This window comes from Homo sapiens, chromosome 8 (assembly GCF_000001405.40).
Source record: "Homo sapiens chromosome 8, GRCh38.p14 Primary Assembly".
Taxonomy (NCBI): Eukaryota; Metazoa; Chordata; class Mammalia; order Primates; family Hominidae; genus Homo; species Homo sapiens.
The window spans coordinates 30998409-31019260 of NC_000008.11; the positions used below are offsets into that span (position 1 = coordinate 30998409).

The following is a 20852-nucleotide window of genomic DNA, read 5'->3' on the forward strand; positions in this document are numbered from 1 at the left end:
GCTAGTTCAAGGTAATAAAGTGCCTTCTTTTCCAGGTAATTAATTTATCATTAAAATATTTTAAGGCTTTATAAGAAACTCAGTGCTATCAGAAGTTTGATAGCATATGGAGTTATGTTATTAATTAGCATTCTTTTGTAGTTCTTATTTCATGTAATCTTCAATCCCTAAGGTATTAATATATTTTTATAATTAGCAGCTTAAAATTATAAACTTGAATGTCGATTCTGAATTCATTTTGTGGGGAAAGCGAAGGATGTATAATTTCTAAATGCTGTGATACACTCATGTTGCTTCTGAACAATATAGTTTATGGCGTAATATACAGCAGCCAATGCCCCTCAGAAAATTCAACAGAATAGTTAATCCCATGGCAAACAGGGCCATCATTTTATCCATTCATTCATATATCCTGCTATCTTTACATTTAAAATGATCATGCAGGCCTAAACAAAAAAGGCCAGAGAAAACCTAAGGTAAATTTTTCAGGTACAGGCACAATGAGTATCTTTTATTGCAACAGTTTATGCATAATCTATATTGGTGCCAACACCTAAAGTTAAACATTTATATTTATTTTTATTTTGTTTCTACTACCCATGGGTGCATGACAGTAAAATACTGGTAACCTAACAGAATGTATGTGTATGGGTATATATGTATATATAAAATAGCATATATATATGTGATACTCATAATAATACAGAATTCTGATGCTTCCAAGTCTTGTCATTTCTCTTTAGGGGATATGGGTGTGTTTTAAGCACTTCTGTGTACTTAGTTGTCTTGGCAGCTCCAGAGTTTAGATAAATTATGACTATATGGACATCAACTACTCAATTATTTATGACCAATGAAAACTAATTAAAAAGTTTGAATATTCTTTTTCAGGAATTCAGTTATTTTTATCAGAAAATTACTAAAATCAGGCACAAGATTAAGTGGTCATGATACCTAAAATATTCTTCTGGTTACCACTGGATTAATTTTAAATGGTTCTTAAATTAAAGGTTTTGAAATTAGGATAGAGGAGGAAAGCTAAAACTCATTGCAAAGAATAGTTTAAGTTAAACATTTTGTGTAATTAGAAAAACAGGAATTACCAGTAGGAAAAAAGTGCTAGTCTTAAAATTGGGTTTGATTTTGACTCTAAAGCCTAGTAAGAATAATTACTGGGAATTAGAAAAAAATAAAGTGGCATTAACCTTTATAATTGCACATTCCTTTGCCAAAGTGCCACAAGTTGACAAATATTTTTCTAAAATGCACAATGCTACTTTTCAAAATGTAAATATATATACAGTTTTACCTTTTTCATACTGGTATAGCACAGATTCATACACTTAGCACAAATATAATCAAGGAGATGATACTTTCTAGAATCAGTATAGTCTTTGTTTTTTGTTTTAAACAACTAAGAGACTTTGTGATTATGAGGATTCAAATCCAAATACTATATAGTCAAAGCATTACCATAAAACCTGAAAACATCGTGACGGTTTGTTTAGGCGAATTTTAGTAATACTCTGCCATGCAATGTACATAAGTCGTATGTGTTTTCCTTTAAAATAAAAAAAAACCACACTGGTTTAATTACCCTGTTTTTATCTATTTGTCTACATATACATCTTGTCTCCAGTCACTGAAATGACAATATATGTAACAATCAAATTTTGAAAACAGTATTAAACACTGAGGTTTCTAGCCTTAGCTGGTCATTCCTATAAAGTCCAGCAAAAAATATGATGCATGGGTTATTAATTTTCATGCTTCTATTTCTTTACTCTAAATAGAAACACTAAATGGAAATGTTCAGAGATAATATAATGACAAAAGGACAGTAGAGAACAAAGCACCAACATGTGGAACAAATAAAATAATATGCAACTCTGTGGAGGTTCTCCATCAAATTTGGCAAATCAGGGATGACAGTAAAAAATGAAGATCTCTTACTCATGTAATAATCATACTGATATATATTTGCAAATAAATGGAATGCACAGAAAGTTAAATTTTGAATATTTTTGTTGTTTCTGAGTGTGATAAAACTAGAGTTGCCTCATTATAAACTAAGATTCTCCCCCACCTCAAAATTCTATTGTTCAGAGGAGAGAGAGAATGTAAGATTACGATTCTCTGTGACAGATGACCTGGGCTCTGCTACACCACAGGCTAAACTCTGCGGTGTAGTGCCCCATTTAATTAGGGTGAAAGCTGGTAAGAACATAAAAGTACTAAAATTAAAATTAGGATTAGTTCATAGTCAAAGAACATTAAATAACTGTCTAAATGGGTCCCTTCCTTGAGCATCTGAATCTTAGGTATAAGAATGACTATATAGAAGCATGTTAAAGACATGGCCCATTCTATAAATTCATCTTTTGAGGGTGTATAATGGGATATAAATTGGCATCCTCATCTTCTGAGAGAATTAACAAACTTTAAAAACATTAACTAAAATCAGAAAAGACCAGGCATAATAAATCACTGAACCCAACATACTGGCAAGTTAATCACAGGATATTCATCTTATTTAACAAACCTTCCTACAGTTTCTGAGTATTAAAATATAATCCGTTGTTTGTGAATAATAGTCTTGGATAGTTTCAGCATTTAAATATTGGAGAAATACTTCCGATAAACATTGAAATACAGAAATTCTTAATAGAAGCTGCAGATTTATAGAAACTTCATAGTATGTGTGATATTCCAACTATATTTAGCTCACATAATACCCAAAATAATACAACATTCCACAATTTATCTTGTTAATACACACACGTATTTTCTTGACTTTGTAAAAGCTAGGCAATTGTATTTACCTAAAATAGCTTTTCCCTGGTAATAGTCCTATATCGTTGACATAAATACTGAACATACCTATGAGAATCATTTCTACCCTATAATTTAATATTGTTTTCTTTCATTCAGTTGCTTTGTAGCTCTTTTCATTTCCAAAGTGCTTCACAACTAATTATAACAGTTATTTCTCACCATATCCCAATGAGCAAGGCAAAGTTAATGCATTGCTTGTGCAGTGGTTCAGGTGCACAGGTTTATAATGATCTCATGTAGCTTCTCTGCTCTCTGGGCAGTTATCTAGCATTGTCCATGTTGTGAGTACCCGTACTGTATGCTCTTTGGGGCCAAAGACTGGATCTTGTTGTCTGCTATATTATCCAGACCCAGAGAAATGGTTAGCTCATACCACAGGCAAAATAAATATCTATTGATTTAATGAATGAATGAGAAATGAGACTGAGAAAACAGAACAAAGAACTTCACTATAACACTCTCCTACCACTAACCCCCACAAAAAGCTGTGCTGGTCCACTTTTGCTTCACCCATACAATGTGGTAGGTAGTATTACTTGTCTTAAAGAATAGGGTAGTATTACTCACTCTTGAAGTGGTACTCTTGAATCGGGTAGTATTACTCTTGAATAGGGTAGTATTACTCACGCCTGAATCGCTATGGCAAAATCCATATGATGTGTTTTCCAGAGAACCAATGACACAATTGACTATTACTACAACTACTTCTAAAACTCTGAATTACTCATCTTTACCTTTGCCAAACATTTAAATTAAAAGTTGTGCTTCTGGTAGACTATTCTTTTCTTAAGCTAATTCAGGCATAATGAATCAAGGAAATAATCCTCATAGCTGCAATCATTAACATGAATATGGAGACTATCAGAGGGAATGAAAAGGCAGTTATACATATATACAAAGGGGATCTGGGGACTACTAGTTCTTCATTGTTTTGGAAATTAGGGCAGGAAAGCTAAGACCTGTAAAAAGATAATAATTATATTGAACTATTGAATACCGAGAGGTAAGACTTGATGATGTTGAAAGTCTCTTCTAGCCCTAAAATTCTATGTTATGCTAACTGGTTCTTCCTCTGATAAGATGGGAATCTGTACAGTATTCAAAATATATTTTCTTTTAAAAAAGGATAGTTAAATCCCAAAAGTTTGATGTGTTGGAACTCTTGAATAACTGTATTAAACGTTTTCTTTAAACCACCATTACTCCTTCTTTTGCAATGATACCATGTAAAATATTTTACTTTATTTTTATTTTTCTTGAGACAGGGTCTCTCTCTGAAGCCCAGGCTGGGGTGCAATGGCATGATCTCGGCTCACTGCAACCTCTGTCTCCTGGGTTCAAGTGATTCTCCTGGCTCAGCCTCCCAAGTAGCTGGGATTACAGGAACTCACCACCACACCTGGCTAATTTTTGTATTTTTCGTAGAGATGGTGTTTCACCACGTTGGCCGGGCTGGTCTCGAACTGATGACCTCAGGTGATCCACTTGCCTCGGCCTCCCAAAGTGCTAGGATTACAGGCGTGAGCCACCGTGCCCGGCCGAGATCTCTTTTATCTTTCTAACATTAAATGGATAGCAGTGTTCATATTCAAGTGGGAACAAAGACCATATCCTCATTTTTTCATCTGGAACAAACATTATCGGCAGTTTAATTAAAATTAATTACTACAACCAAAACGATAATGAACTGTTTAGAGACTTCAATTCATACTTTTGAGCGATTGCTCAAAAGCACTTATCAATCTTGAGAAGATATATCCTTGAGGCTTAGTATGACAGCACTGTGAGTTGCCCTTCTGGGTTAAATTATACCAACAAGATTCTCTTGGTAATTCAAATGTAACTGCTTTTGTATGAGAAATGACTTAGGCCAAATTCTACACTAAAGTAGGTCATGTGAAAGGGAGGATTCATTTCAGTATTTTTGGAATTATCAGAATGAAATATGAAGATGGTAAAACAACTTAGGAACCTGAACAAAAAAGTAAGTATGATAGGGGAAAAGGAAAGCACGTGTATTTTAGTCGTAGGTGAAAGAAATAAGAAAAGCGAATGAGAAATATTTCAAGAACGGGAATAATCTGAAACTTTATCAGTGTTCTCTCACTAATCAGGCTATATTTCTTATTTCTTTTGGGTACCATTATTTTTTTTTTCCCACTGAAGTGATATAAGCATTATAGTACTATATGGCTACTTTTTTTCTGGCTGAATAATTGTACAAATACAGAAAACTGGCTGGGCACAGTGCCTCACACCTGTCATCCCAGCACTTTGGGAGGCCACAGTGGGCAGATCACTTGACATCAGGAGTTTGAGACCAGCCTGGCCAACATGGCAAAACCCTATCTCTACTAAAAATACAAAAATTAGCTGGGCATGGTGGTGCCCACTTGTAATCCCAGGTACTTGGGAGGCTGAGGCAAAAGAATCGCTTGAACCTGGGAAGTGGAGGTTGCAATGACCCGAGATCGCCCCACTGCAATCCAGCCTGGGTGACAGAGCAAGACTCCATCTCAAAAAAAAACCAAAAAACAAAAAAACAAAAAAAACACCATACTAACTTTTTGTAAAAGTAAGAAAGTGGCTATTGGTATGTGACAATGTTTTGGGATCTCTTTGTGCTCCTGCAGCTCCTTATTTCAGTCTTGAAGGTGGAGATGGTAAGAATAGGGGTGGACTAGCCAAAGGCCAGCTCAACCTTCTCCTTTATTATGTCAAAATTCAGCCACCTTTTTGGTAACTATAGAATTTTCTTGAAAAAGACAATAAGCAGAAAGTAAAAATTCACCCTTTAGATTTGTTGATACACAATTTACTATGGCTCCCCAGAATCACAGTATAATCTTTGCTTAAATTTACTGCCACTCCCCAGAATCTCAATGAATCTTTGCATAACATGGCAAACAATTTAATTAGGACTTTCAAAAGAAGAAAAATGCAATCTGGATGCTGCTCTTACTGTATCTACTCTTGTTTCATTTATATAATATTTGCTTGGAATTACAGATCAAAATGAGTTTCTAATAATAAAACTGAGTTCATCAGGTCTATATTACATAATTTTAAGAGGGCTTAAAAGCTCCTGAGGCATCACCATATTGATAAACAAGTAAAACATCCTTTCCAGCACGTTTTGATAATGGAGATACTACAAGAAAAATATCCTTGGCTGGGCACAGTGGCTCACGCAGGTAATCCCAGAACTTTGGAAGCCCGAGGTGGGTGGATCACTTGAGGTCAGGAGTTCGAGACCAGCCTGGCTAACATGGTGAAACCCAAATTAGCTGGGCATGGTGGCAGGTGCCAGCTACTAGGGAGGCTGAGGCAAGAGAATTGCTTGAACCAGGGAGGCAGAGGTTGCAGTTACAGTGAGCCAAGATTGTGCCACTGCACTCCAGACTGGGCAACAGAGCAAGACTCTGTCTCAAAAAAAAACAAAACAAAAGAATATCCTTAAATGGGATTATTTTTCAAACTAGTTTCTGAAGTCAAAGCAGAACTATAAAGCGATGGAAACAGTCATAGGTTTACGGCTATTACAATTCCTGATGCGAACTCAGGTTCTGTTTTTAGTAATTTAGAGTCTTCCAAAAGAGTAGCTCTTGATGCATATAACGCTAATTAAGGTGGGAGAGTTGTTTGGATGTTAGAAGTACTGTCACTTAATATTAATATAAGAGGGTATTTTCTCCCCCTGCATTCTTACTACAGGTTTGCTGCCATGATTTTAATAGTAGTTATGTGTCAATCAAGATATTCAGTGACGATCTGCTTATTTCTTGCCTGTTTTAAAAAAGTATCATCAGGCAATAAAAGAAACACTCTACTGACAGACTCAAAAACATGGACAATCTCAAAATTATTATGTTGAGTGAAATAAGCCAAACAGAGAAAAATACACGCAGACCAGGCATAGTGGCTTATGCCCATAATCCTAGCACTTTGGGAGGCTGAGATGGGCAGATCACCTGATCTCAGGAGTTTGAGACCAGCCTGGGCAACATGGTGAAACCCCATCTCTACAAAAAATACAAAAGTTAGCTGGGCGTGGTGGCATGTGCCTGTAGTCCCAGCTACTTGGGAGGCTGAGGCATGAGAATTGCTTAAAGCTGGGAGGTGGGGGTTGCAGCGAGCTGAGATTGTGACACTGCACTCCAGCCTGGGTAACAGAGTGAGATCCTGTCACCAAAACAAAAAAAAAAAGAAAAGAAAAGAAAAGAAAAGAAAAATACATGCAATTAACAGGGGATTCCAGAATACACAAAACTAATCTGTGGTGATAGACATCTGATCAGTGGTTGCTTTTGGAAGTCAGGGTCGGGGGAGTGTTGACTGAGGAGGGGTACATGGGAACTTTCTGGGGTGACAGAAATGTGTCTTCATATTCATCAAATCTGACTGAATGACATGCTAAGATCTGAGCATTTTATTAAATTATATCTTAATAAAAATGTTAAAATGCATTGTAATGAAACACGACATTCCTTCTAAAGCATCAGAAATTGCTTAGCATTTTTCTTTTTTCTTTTTTTTTTTTTTCATTTCAAAACTTCTCCCTTCAAATCACCACATAGAGAACAACACGCCCTGGAAAGGGATTCATGACTAATTATCTATGGAGGACACGGGTTTTATATCAGGGGCTACTAGTGGAGCAACAGGACACCACCAGTAGAGAAAGGAGACTGATGCACTTAACACTTACAGGTGGGAAGGAAACAAGATTTTACCTTATGCCTCTTGGTGCACAATCAAGTGTATACATGGTCTATCACACTTCAAAATCACGTTGAATGCCAGTGTCTGGGAGCCTAACTTATGACTACCTTACCACTTCAAATATAAGGGGCCACTCGTTCATCAGCTTTAAAGAGGTTACATTCAGAGTCAAATAGCCAATGAATTCCCAGTTTCCTACAGAAATAACTTTATTACACTACCTGACAATTCTAAAAATAAGTAAGTGAGAAAATTCTATTGGTTTTGAGAAGAAAACAATAATGACCTTGACAGAATTCATCCACGTCATGCCAAATTCATCTACAAAATTAAAACTGTCATCAGAAGGCTGGGTGTGGTAGCTCACGGCTGTAATCCCAGCACTTTGAGAGGGCGAGGAGGGTGGATCACAAGGTCAGGAGATTGAGACGAGCCATGGCCAACATGGTGAAACCCTGTCTCTACTAAAAATATAAAAATTAGCGAGGCGTGGTGGTGGGCGCCTGTGGTCCCGGCTACTCGGGAGACTGAGGCAAGAGAATAGCTCCGTCTCAAAACAAAAACAAAAACAAAAACAAAAACACCCTATCATCAGAAGTCAGACAATTATTTCTCTAATTTACTTCTTTTTGTAATTCCAAGTGAAACACACCAAAGGCTTTTGCTGTCCCAAATCCACCTATAACATACAAAGACATCTAAAACATGTAATTTTACTATTCATTATCATCTCCACCTTAGGTTAGAGGGGAAAAATAAAAATAGTGAGCAATTTCCCTAGTACAATGCTGGGCCTATGGGAGGAACTCAATCCATATTTGTTGACTGAATAAACGAATGTTCTTGTTCCCCTTGAACTGCCATTTCTTACCTCACACAGTGTCTTCTAACTCAACATTACACATTCAATATGGTTAAAAAGGAAAAGCATAGGCACATACTTAGTTTTTTTTAAAAAGCTCTGAAACTCCCAAGCCACACATTATATTGCTACTGCTATTATGCTATTAACATAAAAATTGCATAAATATATCTTGACCCAATTGTAAAAATGATAAATTGATACAAGACAACAGATTCTTAGCTATCAAATCTTCCTTTTAAAAACTCAATTAGTGACACTGAAGGACATTATTTGCCTCTCTAGAATGAACAATAAAAAGTTTTGGGATCAACAAAAAGGACAGTCATGTGCTGTTTCATGTAAACATTTCTGAGGGCAAGAGGAATCATTAGTATCAAAGGAAAATAGAGTTCTAAGAGCTAGATTATAGAAAAAAATATAGTTCAAATATGAAAGAGGAAAATATCAGTATTAAGATGGTGGTCTGGTAAAAGCTGTTTTATGACAGTCACTGGGGCCTAAATTATAATGGTTCTTTACTATCCTGAAATTGAAGATTAAAGTGTGATCAACCTTTAAAAAGCTATTTTTTTCAGAGTCAAATGACCCGCTAACATACTCTTATAATAATGTTTTCAACTTGAAAATAAAGAGGTGAGAAAACTCTTCGAGTTGAAGGATAAAAACAAATATTCTGAATGACGTCTATATAATCTCACTGATTCTGAAGCAAAATCAGTGTAATAAGAAAAACAGACACTGAACAGTGGAAGTACCACTTAATATAGTTCAAGTTCTGAAAGACTAGTTAAATGATGTCAAAGTCATACAAATATTTTTCCTATCTCTTGTAAAATGAGGGTGTCATATTACCCCCAAAGACACCTTCAGGCAAAAAACCATCAAAATCGATGGTAGATCTAGATGAGAAAAACTGTAGGTACTAGGAAGTAGGTGAATGTAATACTTTTAGCGCTGCAGCAATTGGTCCCTCAATCATGCAAACAGCCTAATGATTCTCTTTTTTTAAAAAAAGAAAAAAACAAAGCTGTTCTGATTTCCTCCAGGAATAAATCTATGCTTCAATTATTTTCCAGTCTGTGGATAGTTTATTCATTTTCTTAATGGTGTCTTTGGATGAGTAGGAAATTTTAATTTTGATGGAGTCTAATGTATTGTTTTTTTCTCTTATAGTTAGTGCTTTTTGTTTCCTGTGCAAGAAATTTTTGCCTGCACAATTGTGCACTTTTATATTTGACTGAAAACAGTTTTATGAGATTATAAGCAGCCCAATTCCCTTGCAGCTGCTACACCTAAAGGTTCCTATGGTAAAAGGAGGCTCCCTTTGAACTTTGCATAATGTTGTTATACTTTCCAGGGAACCATCCATTTCGTGGGTTGGGAAGAATTAATAATGATGTTAACTAATATTTGTTAAATGCTTTGATTATGTGACATTTCGTTAACAGCCTTATGTACCTGAAGGCATTTAACTTTCTGTTTTTTGAGATGGAATCTTGCTCTGTTGCCCAGCCTGGAGTGCAGTGGCATGATCTCGGCTCGCTGCCACTGCAACCTCCGCCTCCTGGGTTCAAGCGATTCTCCTGACTCAGCCTCCCGAGTAGCTGGGATTACAGCTGCGTGCCACCACGCCTGGTTAATTTTTGTATTTTTAGTAAAGATGGGGTTTCACCATGTTGGCCAGGCTGGTCTTGAATGCCTGACCTCAAGTGAGGCCCACCAAGGCCTCCCAAAGTGCTGGGATTACAGGCGTGAGCCACTGCACCTGGTTGCATTTAACTTTTTTAAGAGAATTCTGGTTTACTCTAGGTTCTGTGAGGGCAGGGAACTTTATGTTTTGTTATCAATATAATTCCCTGAACTTTAAAGATTGACCAGCACATAGTAGGTGATTGATGAATATACAATAAATGATGAATGAATTCTCACAACTCTATACAGTTACATAAACTGCTCCAAATTTCACAATAAATGACAGAATTTGGACTTGAACCCAGGACTGGCTGACACCAAGGTCTGTTCTGTTTGCACTTTATACTAGGCCACTGAGATTGCCTGATAACTTTAGGGGATCCAATACCTAAAAATAGAGCTGAAATTACTGCCATTGCTTAAGGGGGTAGAGGAAGTGGATTAAAGTCATTGTTGTTTTCTTCTCCCGGCAAAAGGCAAGTGTGGAACTCCTATTAAGCTCCTCTGTGATAATCTTAGCCATATTGATCTGACTTTTATATTTATAACTATATGATAATTTGTGCAGATTTAGCCAATATGAAACTTCTGTGGCCATAAATACAGAAACAGAATAATTCGGACAGGTGCAGTGGCTCACACTTGTAATCCCAGCACTTTGGGAGGTCAAAATGGGTGGATCACTTGAGGTCAGGAGTTCAAGACCAGTCTGGCCAACACAGTGAAACCCCATCTCTTCCAAAGAATACAAAAATTAGCTGGGCGTGGTGACATACACCTGTAGTCCCAGCTACTCGGGGGGCTAGGGTGGGAGAAGTACTTGAACCCGGGAGGTGGAGGTTGCAGTGAGCTGAGATCGTGCCACTGCACTCTAGCCTGGGTGACAGAGTAAGACTCTGTCTCAAAACAAAACAAAACAAAACAAAACAACAAAAACCACCAGAATAATTCAGTCTGCATGTAAGAATTCAGAATTTAGCCTGCCAGTTCCTCAGTGATGCTACAAAACCATGGTTAACTGGGAATGTCAGGGAGCGAAGTCATTTACTTAACAGCAATTCCTAGCTAACAGTATGCTTTTAATCCTATTGAAATGGAAATATTTCTAACATGTATTATTTCGATTTTCTGCTTTAATAAATACAACATAATAAATGTGATTAAATTTTGCATGCACAAATGAGAATACTGCAGTGCTCTAGGGCCTTCACTGTCAACAACTGTAATGATGGTACTGATGCAGATGAAGAACAGTGGGTTCTTGAGTTGATTTCATAAAACCTGGATCATTCCTTTCAAACAGGTTTCTGAAAAAGTCTGCTTCTAACTTATCATGTGGTCATTTATCTCTTGTTCATAAGCATGTAGAGGGAAAACCAGTCTAGGGAACATAGTGAGACCCTGTGTCCACAAAAAATAGGAAAAATAGCTGGGCATGGTGGTGCATGCCTGTAGTACCAGCTACTCAGGAGTCTGAGGCGGGAGGATCACTTAAGCCCCAGAAGTCAAGGCTGCAGTGAGCCGTCACTGCACCACTGCACTCCGGCCTGGGTGACAAAGCAAGACCCTGTCTTGAAAAAATAAAAAATAAAAAAATAATAAAAAATGGAATGCAGGGAAAAGATTTACTCGCTGTTTAATTAACCAAACTTATTATGCAAATGTAGTTTTACATCTTAAATCCTCTAAACGATATCACTTTTAGAGGGCTATTCTGCAAAGCAGGTGCCATGACAAGACTTGGGTTAACAGGTGAGGAAACGTCAAGTTCTGGAAGGTTAGCTAAGGTGGGAAGCTCAGGCAGGGAGTCTTAAGCACAGAGGACAAAGGCTCAGAGTTTGAGGCAGAGGCTGAGGTCGGCAAGCAGCTGGTGCACAGACATGAGCACCAATGAGTTGCTAGGCCTTCTGCCAGGGCCAAAACCAAGAGTTTACTGAGTGCAGAATTGAGCCTAAAGATGTGATGAAAGCAACAAAATACCTAGAATGCATTTCAAAAAAACTCTTTAAATGAGCTATAAACATATATGCTTAATTTTGCCAAATTTTGATTTCAAGTTTACCTCTTTAAATTTCTATGTTATTATTAATATAAAAGGCTTCAATGAGCAGTGGGCTTGTTAAAACCCTGGTATTTTTATTAGGCAGCTAAGTGATTACAGCAAACCATTTCACCTGCTGGGCTTTGGTTTTCTTCATCTGTTAAGTGGGGACAGTGATATTGAACTAATCTAAATCAGGAGTTTCATCAGGGTAAAATGAGGTATAATAGAAAAAAGAACTTGGAAAATGATTTTAACGTATATGTAAATTATTATAATTTAAAATTACACATTCTTTTTATATTTAATTGAATTAGAAAATATTTCATAATTAATGACCAGTTATGGAAAACTTTCAGGACAAATTTTTGGTACTCATGATTAACTGAATTTATCTATTAATTGTCTTCATTGCAATGTCTCTACAGTGAAAATTATTACAACTGTGGATTTACTGACACAGAGGTGTTAGTAAATCTCATTTGGTTGGCTAAGACATTGGTGAGATAGTCATCATAGCTGAGAACACTGATGGATTTTTGTCAATCCAAACATATGAGGAGAAAAAGAATTTGTGAATATACTGAATATGCAATGAGAGTGAAATAAAATTAGTGATGATGAATACAAAAGCCTGGGGCAGGAAGGGCTAACATGTGACATGTATATAGCTACTCCTTGCTTTCCTCATCTAACTGCCCCATCAACATACAGAAATCATCGCAGTCTTTTACCATGGGCCTGAATGGAGCTTCACAATCATCTCCAACCTAGGACTCAGGTAGTCATTACCACTTGAACACAATGGCACATGAAATGAAACAGAATAGTTATTTTCACCCTAGGACATCAAGGCAGATTTGGAATGAGGAAGACAGAATTATTGTTTAAAATAGTATCATTGTATTTCTCTAAATCTGCATCAATGAAATATATTTTGAGCACTATGACAGTATGTAGATAATCATATTTAAAGGATAAATTGATAAGGGAAAAATAATGCATAGCATTTTATACTAGATAGCTTTAAATACACTTCCATATGTACCAACAAACTGTCTAGCACATGGCAGATAATCAAATAAATATCTGTTGAATGAACAAAATGATACTGTAATTAGGCTCCAAAAGCTGCTTTGAATCAAATAACTTTGGACATGGCACACTTAAAGCTAATGGCAGTGAAATATTTGTCTTTCCTAAGTTATTGTATCCCTAGACCCTAGCACAGAACCTGGCAAAAAGTAGCTACTCAATGTCCATTGAATGAGTAGAGGAACAACATCACTTATCCATTAAGCAAGGGAAAGAATATTTCTGAAATAAAATTTAGGGTGTGCAGGCAACAAATCATCCTTTAATTGTGAGTCATCTTTGAAATAAAGATGACATAGCATTTTTGGTTAGGTTTTAAAACTATCGCTTTCATTAACAATTGTCGCCATTTAGATTTGTCTGTTAAGTACCGTGATTCTGAAGCAACAAGATTTCAAAGACAAAACAGGAACAGGAATGCTGGTGATTAAGTGAAAAGAGATGATTTAAGTAATCAGCCCAGTGCAAGGTGGAGAGGGGAATACAAAAGAGGAAGAAACTGTCTCTGCTTTTAAACTTAAATGCAAGTTAAGGAGTTAGGATTTTTCAAATGGGAAACTTAAGTTTAAAATATACTCCAACAAGTTTTAGGTTGTGTGTCTAAAAAAATCTCTTGGAACTGGAAGAATTGCCTCTTTAAAACTTTTGTGTACAGGGCCAAAAGATAAGTCTTATTGATTATATATATAATATATCATGATCAACTAGTTTTTGTGTTAGTTCCAAGATAATTTATATGTAAAATTAAAATGGCAGGGTAAAAATGGGAACTGGGCAAATTAGGCAGAGAAGCAGCATACTGCAACACTGTAAAGTGGCCATAACTAAATATGAACCATGCCAAGAAGGAAAGGATGGTCAATAAATGTCAGATGAGAGACGAAACCAAGGGGAGTGGGAAGAAAATGAGAAAAGGCCAAAGAAGAAAGTAGAAACTAACTTTAAGAGAAGTTTCACTGACTTCAGGGATACAGAAATTGAAGGGGTTCTTAGAGATCATCACTCTGATCCAATTCCCTCAATTTATGGATAAGCAAGCTGGGGTCCACAGAGGCTAAATGACTTGCCCCAGGCCCAGCTAGAAGGCATAGAGCCAAGGCTTCTGAAAGACAGTGCATCATCTCCATATCACACTACTGCACGCTATGAAGTCAGCAGCAAGACTGCAAGGATTTTTTAAAACAAATTTCTGAATGATTGAAATAGTAGTCCAAATAATACACAACTAATTTTTGGAGTTTATTAATTATAGCATAGATATACTGAGTAATGTAGCATTCACGTTCACTTTATAGTTATTTTGTGACAAATTTAATAAGTAATCATTTAGAATTGAGTTATTAAGAATCTAATTTAAGAATCAAGTTGTGTTTACCCAAGATTAATTTTTTATATAAATATAAAACATTTGCATCAAATAAAATGTAGATTTTATTTAATATGCTTCAAGTCAGATGCAAATCACCTTAACAGAGGGCACTGCTTGAATTAGAGCTTGGTATGTCATTAAATATAATATTTGGGCCTTTGAAAAAGTGAGTCAAACAATAAATGGTGATCAACAAACCAAATCACATAGTTACCTAGTGACCCAAAAACTTGCTTAAAGAGGAGTACGGTTTAATAACGCTTGAAGAAAAATAATGCAAACTAACTTTAGTCATTATAAATCTTACAGTCATTCTTCATTCTAAGTTTAATATAATAATTGATATATTTGGTAAATATGTATGAAGTAAAGGCTCAGAACTTGGGGAATTTTCAGGCTGGAATTCATTGTACCATATAAAGGTTCCTGGCCGGGCGCGGCGGCTCATGCCTGTAATCCCAGCACTTTGGAAGCACGAGGCAGGAGGATTACCTGAGGCAGGAGTTCGAGACTAGCCCGGCCAACATGGTGAAACTTCCGTCTCTACTAAAAACACAAAATTAGCCAGGCATGGTGGCGGGCGCCTGTAATCCCAGTTATTCAGGAGGCTGAAGCAGGAGAATCACTTGAACCCAGGAGGCGGAGGTTGCAGTGAGCCGAGGTCGCGCCACTGCACTCCAGCCTGGGCAACAAGAGCGAAACTGTCTCAAAAAATAAAAGGTTCCTACTGGCAAAATATTAGTGTCCAGCTTAGGTTAGAAGCTGAAAATTGAGGGGAGGTTAAGTTCTGACATCACGTGCTCTGAGGAACGCATGGAATTAAATAAACTTCTGTGATTTTGGGGTGGTATGATGATCAATGAGGAAAGATCTTAAAGAGTGAGAGGAGCGCTGAAAACAAAAAAAGGTTAATTGCCTGGAACATTACTGAATCAGCTGCAACACAACTCCTTCACTAAATCTTTTCAACTCAAGGAGTATTTTTTCTCCCAGAAAATATTTCTAATTTTATAATGGAAATCAAAGAAAAAATGAGATTCAATAATACCAATATGTTGCAGCAGATCATTAAAAAAATCTGAATTATTCCAGATTATGGAATTATTTAAAATGGTTCAATACAAATAGCATTTTTCTGAAAAACTCATAAGGTAGCACTGATACAAATTGTTAAATTCATGAAACGAAGACTTAGTTATCATTATCCAAGAGTCATGATCAATCAGTTTTTGTGCTAGCTCTGAAATAATTTAGGCCAAGAAAAGACAGATGTTTTTCCCTATGGGAGGATCATAAGCAGCATACTCATAATTATAGCATTTTTGGTTATTTAGATGTGTATTGCTTATAAGACTTTAAGCTTTTATTGATTTCTTAAAAAAATTTTAATAACAGAGGAAGAGAAATGTTTCAAAAGAAAAACTTTTACAGAATAAGAGTTTAAAAAATTTATTTCTCGGGTTGAGTATTTTCTTACTGCCAAAGATTTTGAAAATAACATTTGAAACAGTTCATTTGCAGAAAAATACATTTTTATTTTTTACCTATTTCCTCCCAAATTGTGTTTCTATTAAAGCTGTTTAAAGGTAAACCATTTTATACTGAATAAGCAAAGATTATTAAATCATTTAGTAAACACTAATTTGTCAAATTCCAGAAAAACTTCCAATCTACTACTTACGTTATAAAGTGTTATGGTAAAACAGTCTTAGAATGTAGACAGGAAAAAGCCAAGGAAATTCTAGGATTTAAGCCTAATTGCCCTGGTAACTCTAAACTTAAACCTTCAACAAACAAATAAAATACCAAACCAGCCAGGAAGCATAAAGTGAGATCCATAGGTCTCAAGAGGAATAAAGGCTTACCTCCCCCTGTAAATCAGTGGAAAAGCTTCCAGGATAAAATACCTTCACTCAAAGATTATAAGCATATCTTATTAGCACAATTGCTTTGTAATTGTAAATCTTTTTGCATGTGAGAATTCTAACAATACAGGAGATAAGCTTTATACTTGGAGAGCTAAATAGCAATAACTGTAAACCCATTATGGATGGGAGAAAGGTTAAGAAAACATATTGCTTATTTTAAAGAAAAGGTTGAGAAGAAAGTGTAATGGTAGTTGCCAGGCTTGCGGGGGAAAGGAAGATGGGGAGTTGTTCAATGGATATAGCTTTTCAGTTTTGCAGGACAAAAAAGTTCTGGAGATTGGTTGCATGACAAGGTGAATATACTTAACGCTACTGAACACAACATTACTGAACACTTAGAAATGCTTAAGATGGTAAATTTTATGCTATGCATTTTTTTAACCACAATTGAAAACAAACACACAAACAAACAAACACACCACCACCAGAAGTGAGGCATTCAAAGATTAACTAGATTGACTAAGGCAATTTTTTTCTACTCCTGATAAATGATAGGTTTATACTGCATATATATTTTAAAAAAAAAAGAGGTTGAGAAATGTCATTTGAGACGTAAAGGGTCAACTTTTGAGACTGAAAGACCAGTCGCTTGGCTCTGAAGACTCTGAATGTTTGGTTGTGAAATCCAGGGAGTATGAAACCAGTGGACTGATGTCAAGTAAGACCAGACAGACAGAACTTGAGTTTAGGAGGCGGGTGAGAAACTGGCATTTCCAGTAATCACTGCCCAGAAAGCTGGCCAATATGATAGCATACAAAATCTTAAACACCTGGATTTATGCATTTAGCCTCTCTGTGTTTAAAGTGAGCCCTGGCCGGGTGCAGTGCCTCATGCCTGTAATCCCAGCACTTTGGAAGGCTGAGGTGGGAGAAATGCTTGAGCCCAGGACTTTAACACCAGCTGGGTCAACATAAAGAGATGCTGTCATTACAAAAAATAAAAAAAAATTCGCCAGGCATGGTGGCATGCACCTATGGTCCCAGCTACTTGGGAGGCTGAGGTGGGAGGACTGCTTGTGCCTGCCAAGTCGAGGCTGCAGTGAGCTGTGATTGGGTCACTGCACTCCAGCTTGTGTGACAGAACAAGACCCTGTCTCAAAAACAAACAAACAAACAACGACAAAAACATACAAACAAACCAAGGCCAGGCACAGTGGCTCACACCTGTAATTCCAGCACTTTGGGAGGCCAAGGCGGGCAGGTCAGCTGAGGCTAGGAGTTTGACACCAGCCTGGCCAACATGGTGAAACCCTGTCTCTATCAAAAATACAAAAATTAGCCAGGCACAGTGGCACATGCCTGCAGTCCCAGCTACTCAGGAGGCCGAGGCATGAGAATCACTTGAACCTGGGAGGTGGAGGTTGCAGTGAGCTGAGATCGCACCACTGCACCCCAGCCTGGGCAACAGAGTGAGACTCTGTCTCAAAAATAAATAAATAAATAGATAAATAAATACATAGATAGATAAATAAATAAATAAAATAAAGTGAGCCCTGGATACTACTTATTAATATTGTAACCAAAAAAATCATCATTCCATGGTGTCATGACTGACAGTATTTAAAACTTAAGCAATTTGTGCTGGAAAAACGATATGGAAGAAAGAATGCAAGTCTACCAAGAACCAAAAAAAAAAAAAAAAAAAAAAAAAAAAGAAAGAACGCAAGTCCACAGTCTAAGTGAATGACAAAGAGTGGCTTCCAGACCACTTGTATCAGAATGAGTAAGACGATGAAAAATGCCAATTTCTGAACCCCTCTCTTGAACCAATCAAATCAGAATCTCTGAGGATGGGGACCAAACCTGTATTTTTATTTAATACACCTGCACACTTGTGTTTGAGAATCACTGGACTAAATTTTAAAGGATGCAACTGCTGTCATTTTAATGGGGGTTAGAACTCATTAGAAGCAAATGTAGAGTTTAATACTTAAGAGTATCTTTGATGACATCATCATGGCCATCATTCTAGTTTCTCAGAGGCATAGTGGAGATGCTCTGCTCTTTTAAAGGAGAGATGATCAAAAGAAAAAAGAAAAAAGGAAAGAGATTTCAAATAATCTCTTTCACATATTAGAAGAGACACATTCCAGGTGAGTCACATGGTAGTTTGTGCTGCAACTGCCAGCTATCTGGCTAAGCTAGAAATTTTTAGAGCTACAATGAAAACTTTTATGTCTCTAAAGCAGGAATGATAAATAGCAAATATTTGGCATGAACACTGTTTTTTCCCTCTCCCTGTAGATACAAACACAGCACTTTAGGGCAGCCAATCAATTGCAAATACAAGCGAGATGAAACCCATTTACCACTACTTCTCCAGGGACAAGAAAAAGGTGAATAGGATTGGGATCTCTTTTAAAAATTTTTACATATATATGTAAAAAATTGTATATATATGCATGTGCAATATATGTATGTTTAATATATATTACACATACTCTCTATAAGAGATTATATATCTATATCTATATCTATCTATTATATATAAAGGGTATGTAATATTTATCTGGAGGAATAAAATTTGCTTAGCCAAATATTTAGAAATGTGCAATATAGTTTATAGATGTTTGTGTGATAACATTTAAATCACTCAGATCTCTCCATAAAAGCTACTATTTGCCCACTTGAAATCTGGAAATGTTACAGTATCACAAGAAAGCACAGATGATTAGAAGAAGTGACAAGAAAAAAGTGGACACCACCAGGCAGAATCGAGTTTCATATGAATTCACTAGGTCCTGAATTTAGATATGATTGCATTTGTAGCAATAATGAACTTACTTGGAAACTTGTTGTCTAAAACAAAAAATTTAAGATGAAATTAGCAAACGATGTTGCTTCTTTCCACCTTAATTAGCAGTGCAAGAAAAAATGGAGAAAGATATTATAGATGTTTCGACTTTTAAACAGAATTTAATGTGAATTTTATAAAGAAAAAATTTGATAATATCCAATAATTTGGTTTTCCAATTTACCCTATTGCCTCTTGTGTCATTCTAAATAAACCGACAGCAGGTACTTTTGAAATAGCACTATAAATACTAAATTTATTCCTTCATATTTTTGAAAACAGATTGAAAGTGAAAAGTTTCTTTGAAGATTATAAAAGGTAGACTTAATCTTACAGAATAAATTTCATAAATTCTATTTAACTAGTCATTTAATTAATAAAGTTCATGAAAATTTAAAACCTAGTTCTTACGTTGTTTTGCAATAACAAAGGATGGGAAGAAGGATTTCTTTTCTTTATATGTTTTCACAATAATATTAGAAAATTTGAAATCACACTTCTTTATCCAAACCAGTAAATTAACAGAAGGCCTGAAGGCAAAAGTTCCAATGATTATTTCCAATAAATTCTGAATCCCTCAGAGTGGAGAAGAATCTGAGCCATAACAATTCACCTTTTCTGATTTATTAATTCCCTTTATGCATCCCACATTCAGTGCGTGCCTAAATAATTAATTCCAGGAGCAGAGAAGTCATGCAATCCTTAAAGTTTGCCCTAATGTTGAGCTGAAGTCTACTATAAATTTATTCTGCCTGAAGCCTACTCAAAGTATAATTCTAACACTTAATTTTTTTAAATCTAAAATTTATCTTGTAGCCATAATGCAAATGAATAGAGAATTTTTAAAAAAGTTACATTGCCTGTAATGATCCATTTGAGTTTGTGACTATCTCTGTTATGTCAGCAGTTAGTTAATCATTTTCACAATTAGGAACTCATTCAGTGTTCTGGAGTGCTAATCATTCAAAGGTAGTAGCTGTTAAGAGAAGTCAATGAACTTGCAGAACTGCCAAATGTCTATGTATGAATTAATTTAATACTTCAATACAATGTAATCCACTAGAATGACAGCATTAAGGTTTATATATAGTTATAGATATTATATAGATTTAGACATAAAATATGGTTTTATTATTGGGAGGCTGAGGCGGGCGGATCACGAGGTCAGGAGATCGAGACCATTCTGGCTAACATGGTGAAAACCCGTCTCTACTAAAGAATAGAAAAAATTAGGCGTTGTGGCGGGCGCCTGTAGTCCCAGCTACTCGGGAGGCTGAGGCAGGAGAATGGCATGAACCCGGGAGGCGGAGCTTGCAGTGAGCCGAGATCGCGCCACTGCACTCCAGCCTGGGTGACAGAGCGAGACTCTGTCTCAAAAAAAAAAAAAAAAAAAAAAAAAAAAAAAAAAAAAATATATATATATATATATATATATATATATATATGGCTTTAATTTTGATCAACATATTAATTATAGTACAGAATATCTACAAGGTTGTCAAGCATAGAAT

At 36.1% G+C, this 20852-nt stretch overlaps 1 protein-coding gene across 2 annotated transcripts in view, besides 1 other annotated feature; it reads right to left on the minus strand.

The window, feature by feature from the left end:
• Positions 1–20852, minus strand: part of PURG (purine rich element binding protein G) — a 37555-nt gene that overhangs the window by 2607 nt on the left and 14096 nt on the right. The window lies entirely within an intron of this gene.
• Positions 13561–13761: a silencer, noted in NCBI's record as "peak6979 fragment used in MPRA reporter construct". NCBI's record gives its function as "represses an SCP1 promoter by STARR-seq MPRAs in K562 erythroleukemia cells {active_cell/tissue: K562}" and the evidence as "EXISTENCE:reporter gene assay evidence [ECO:0000049][PMID:32103011]".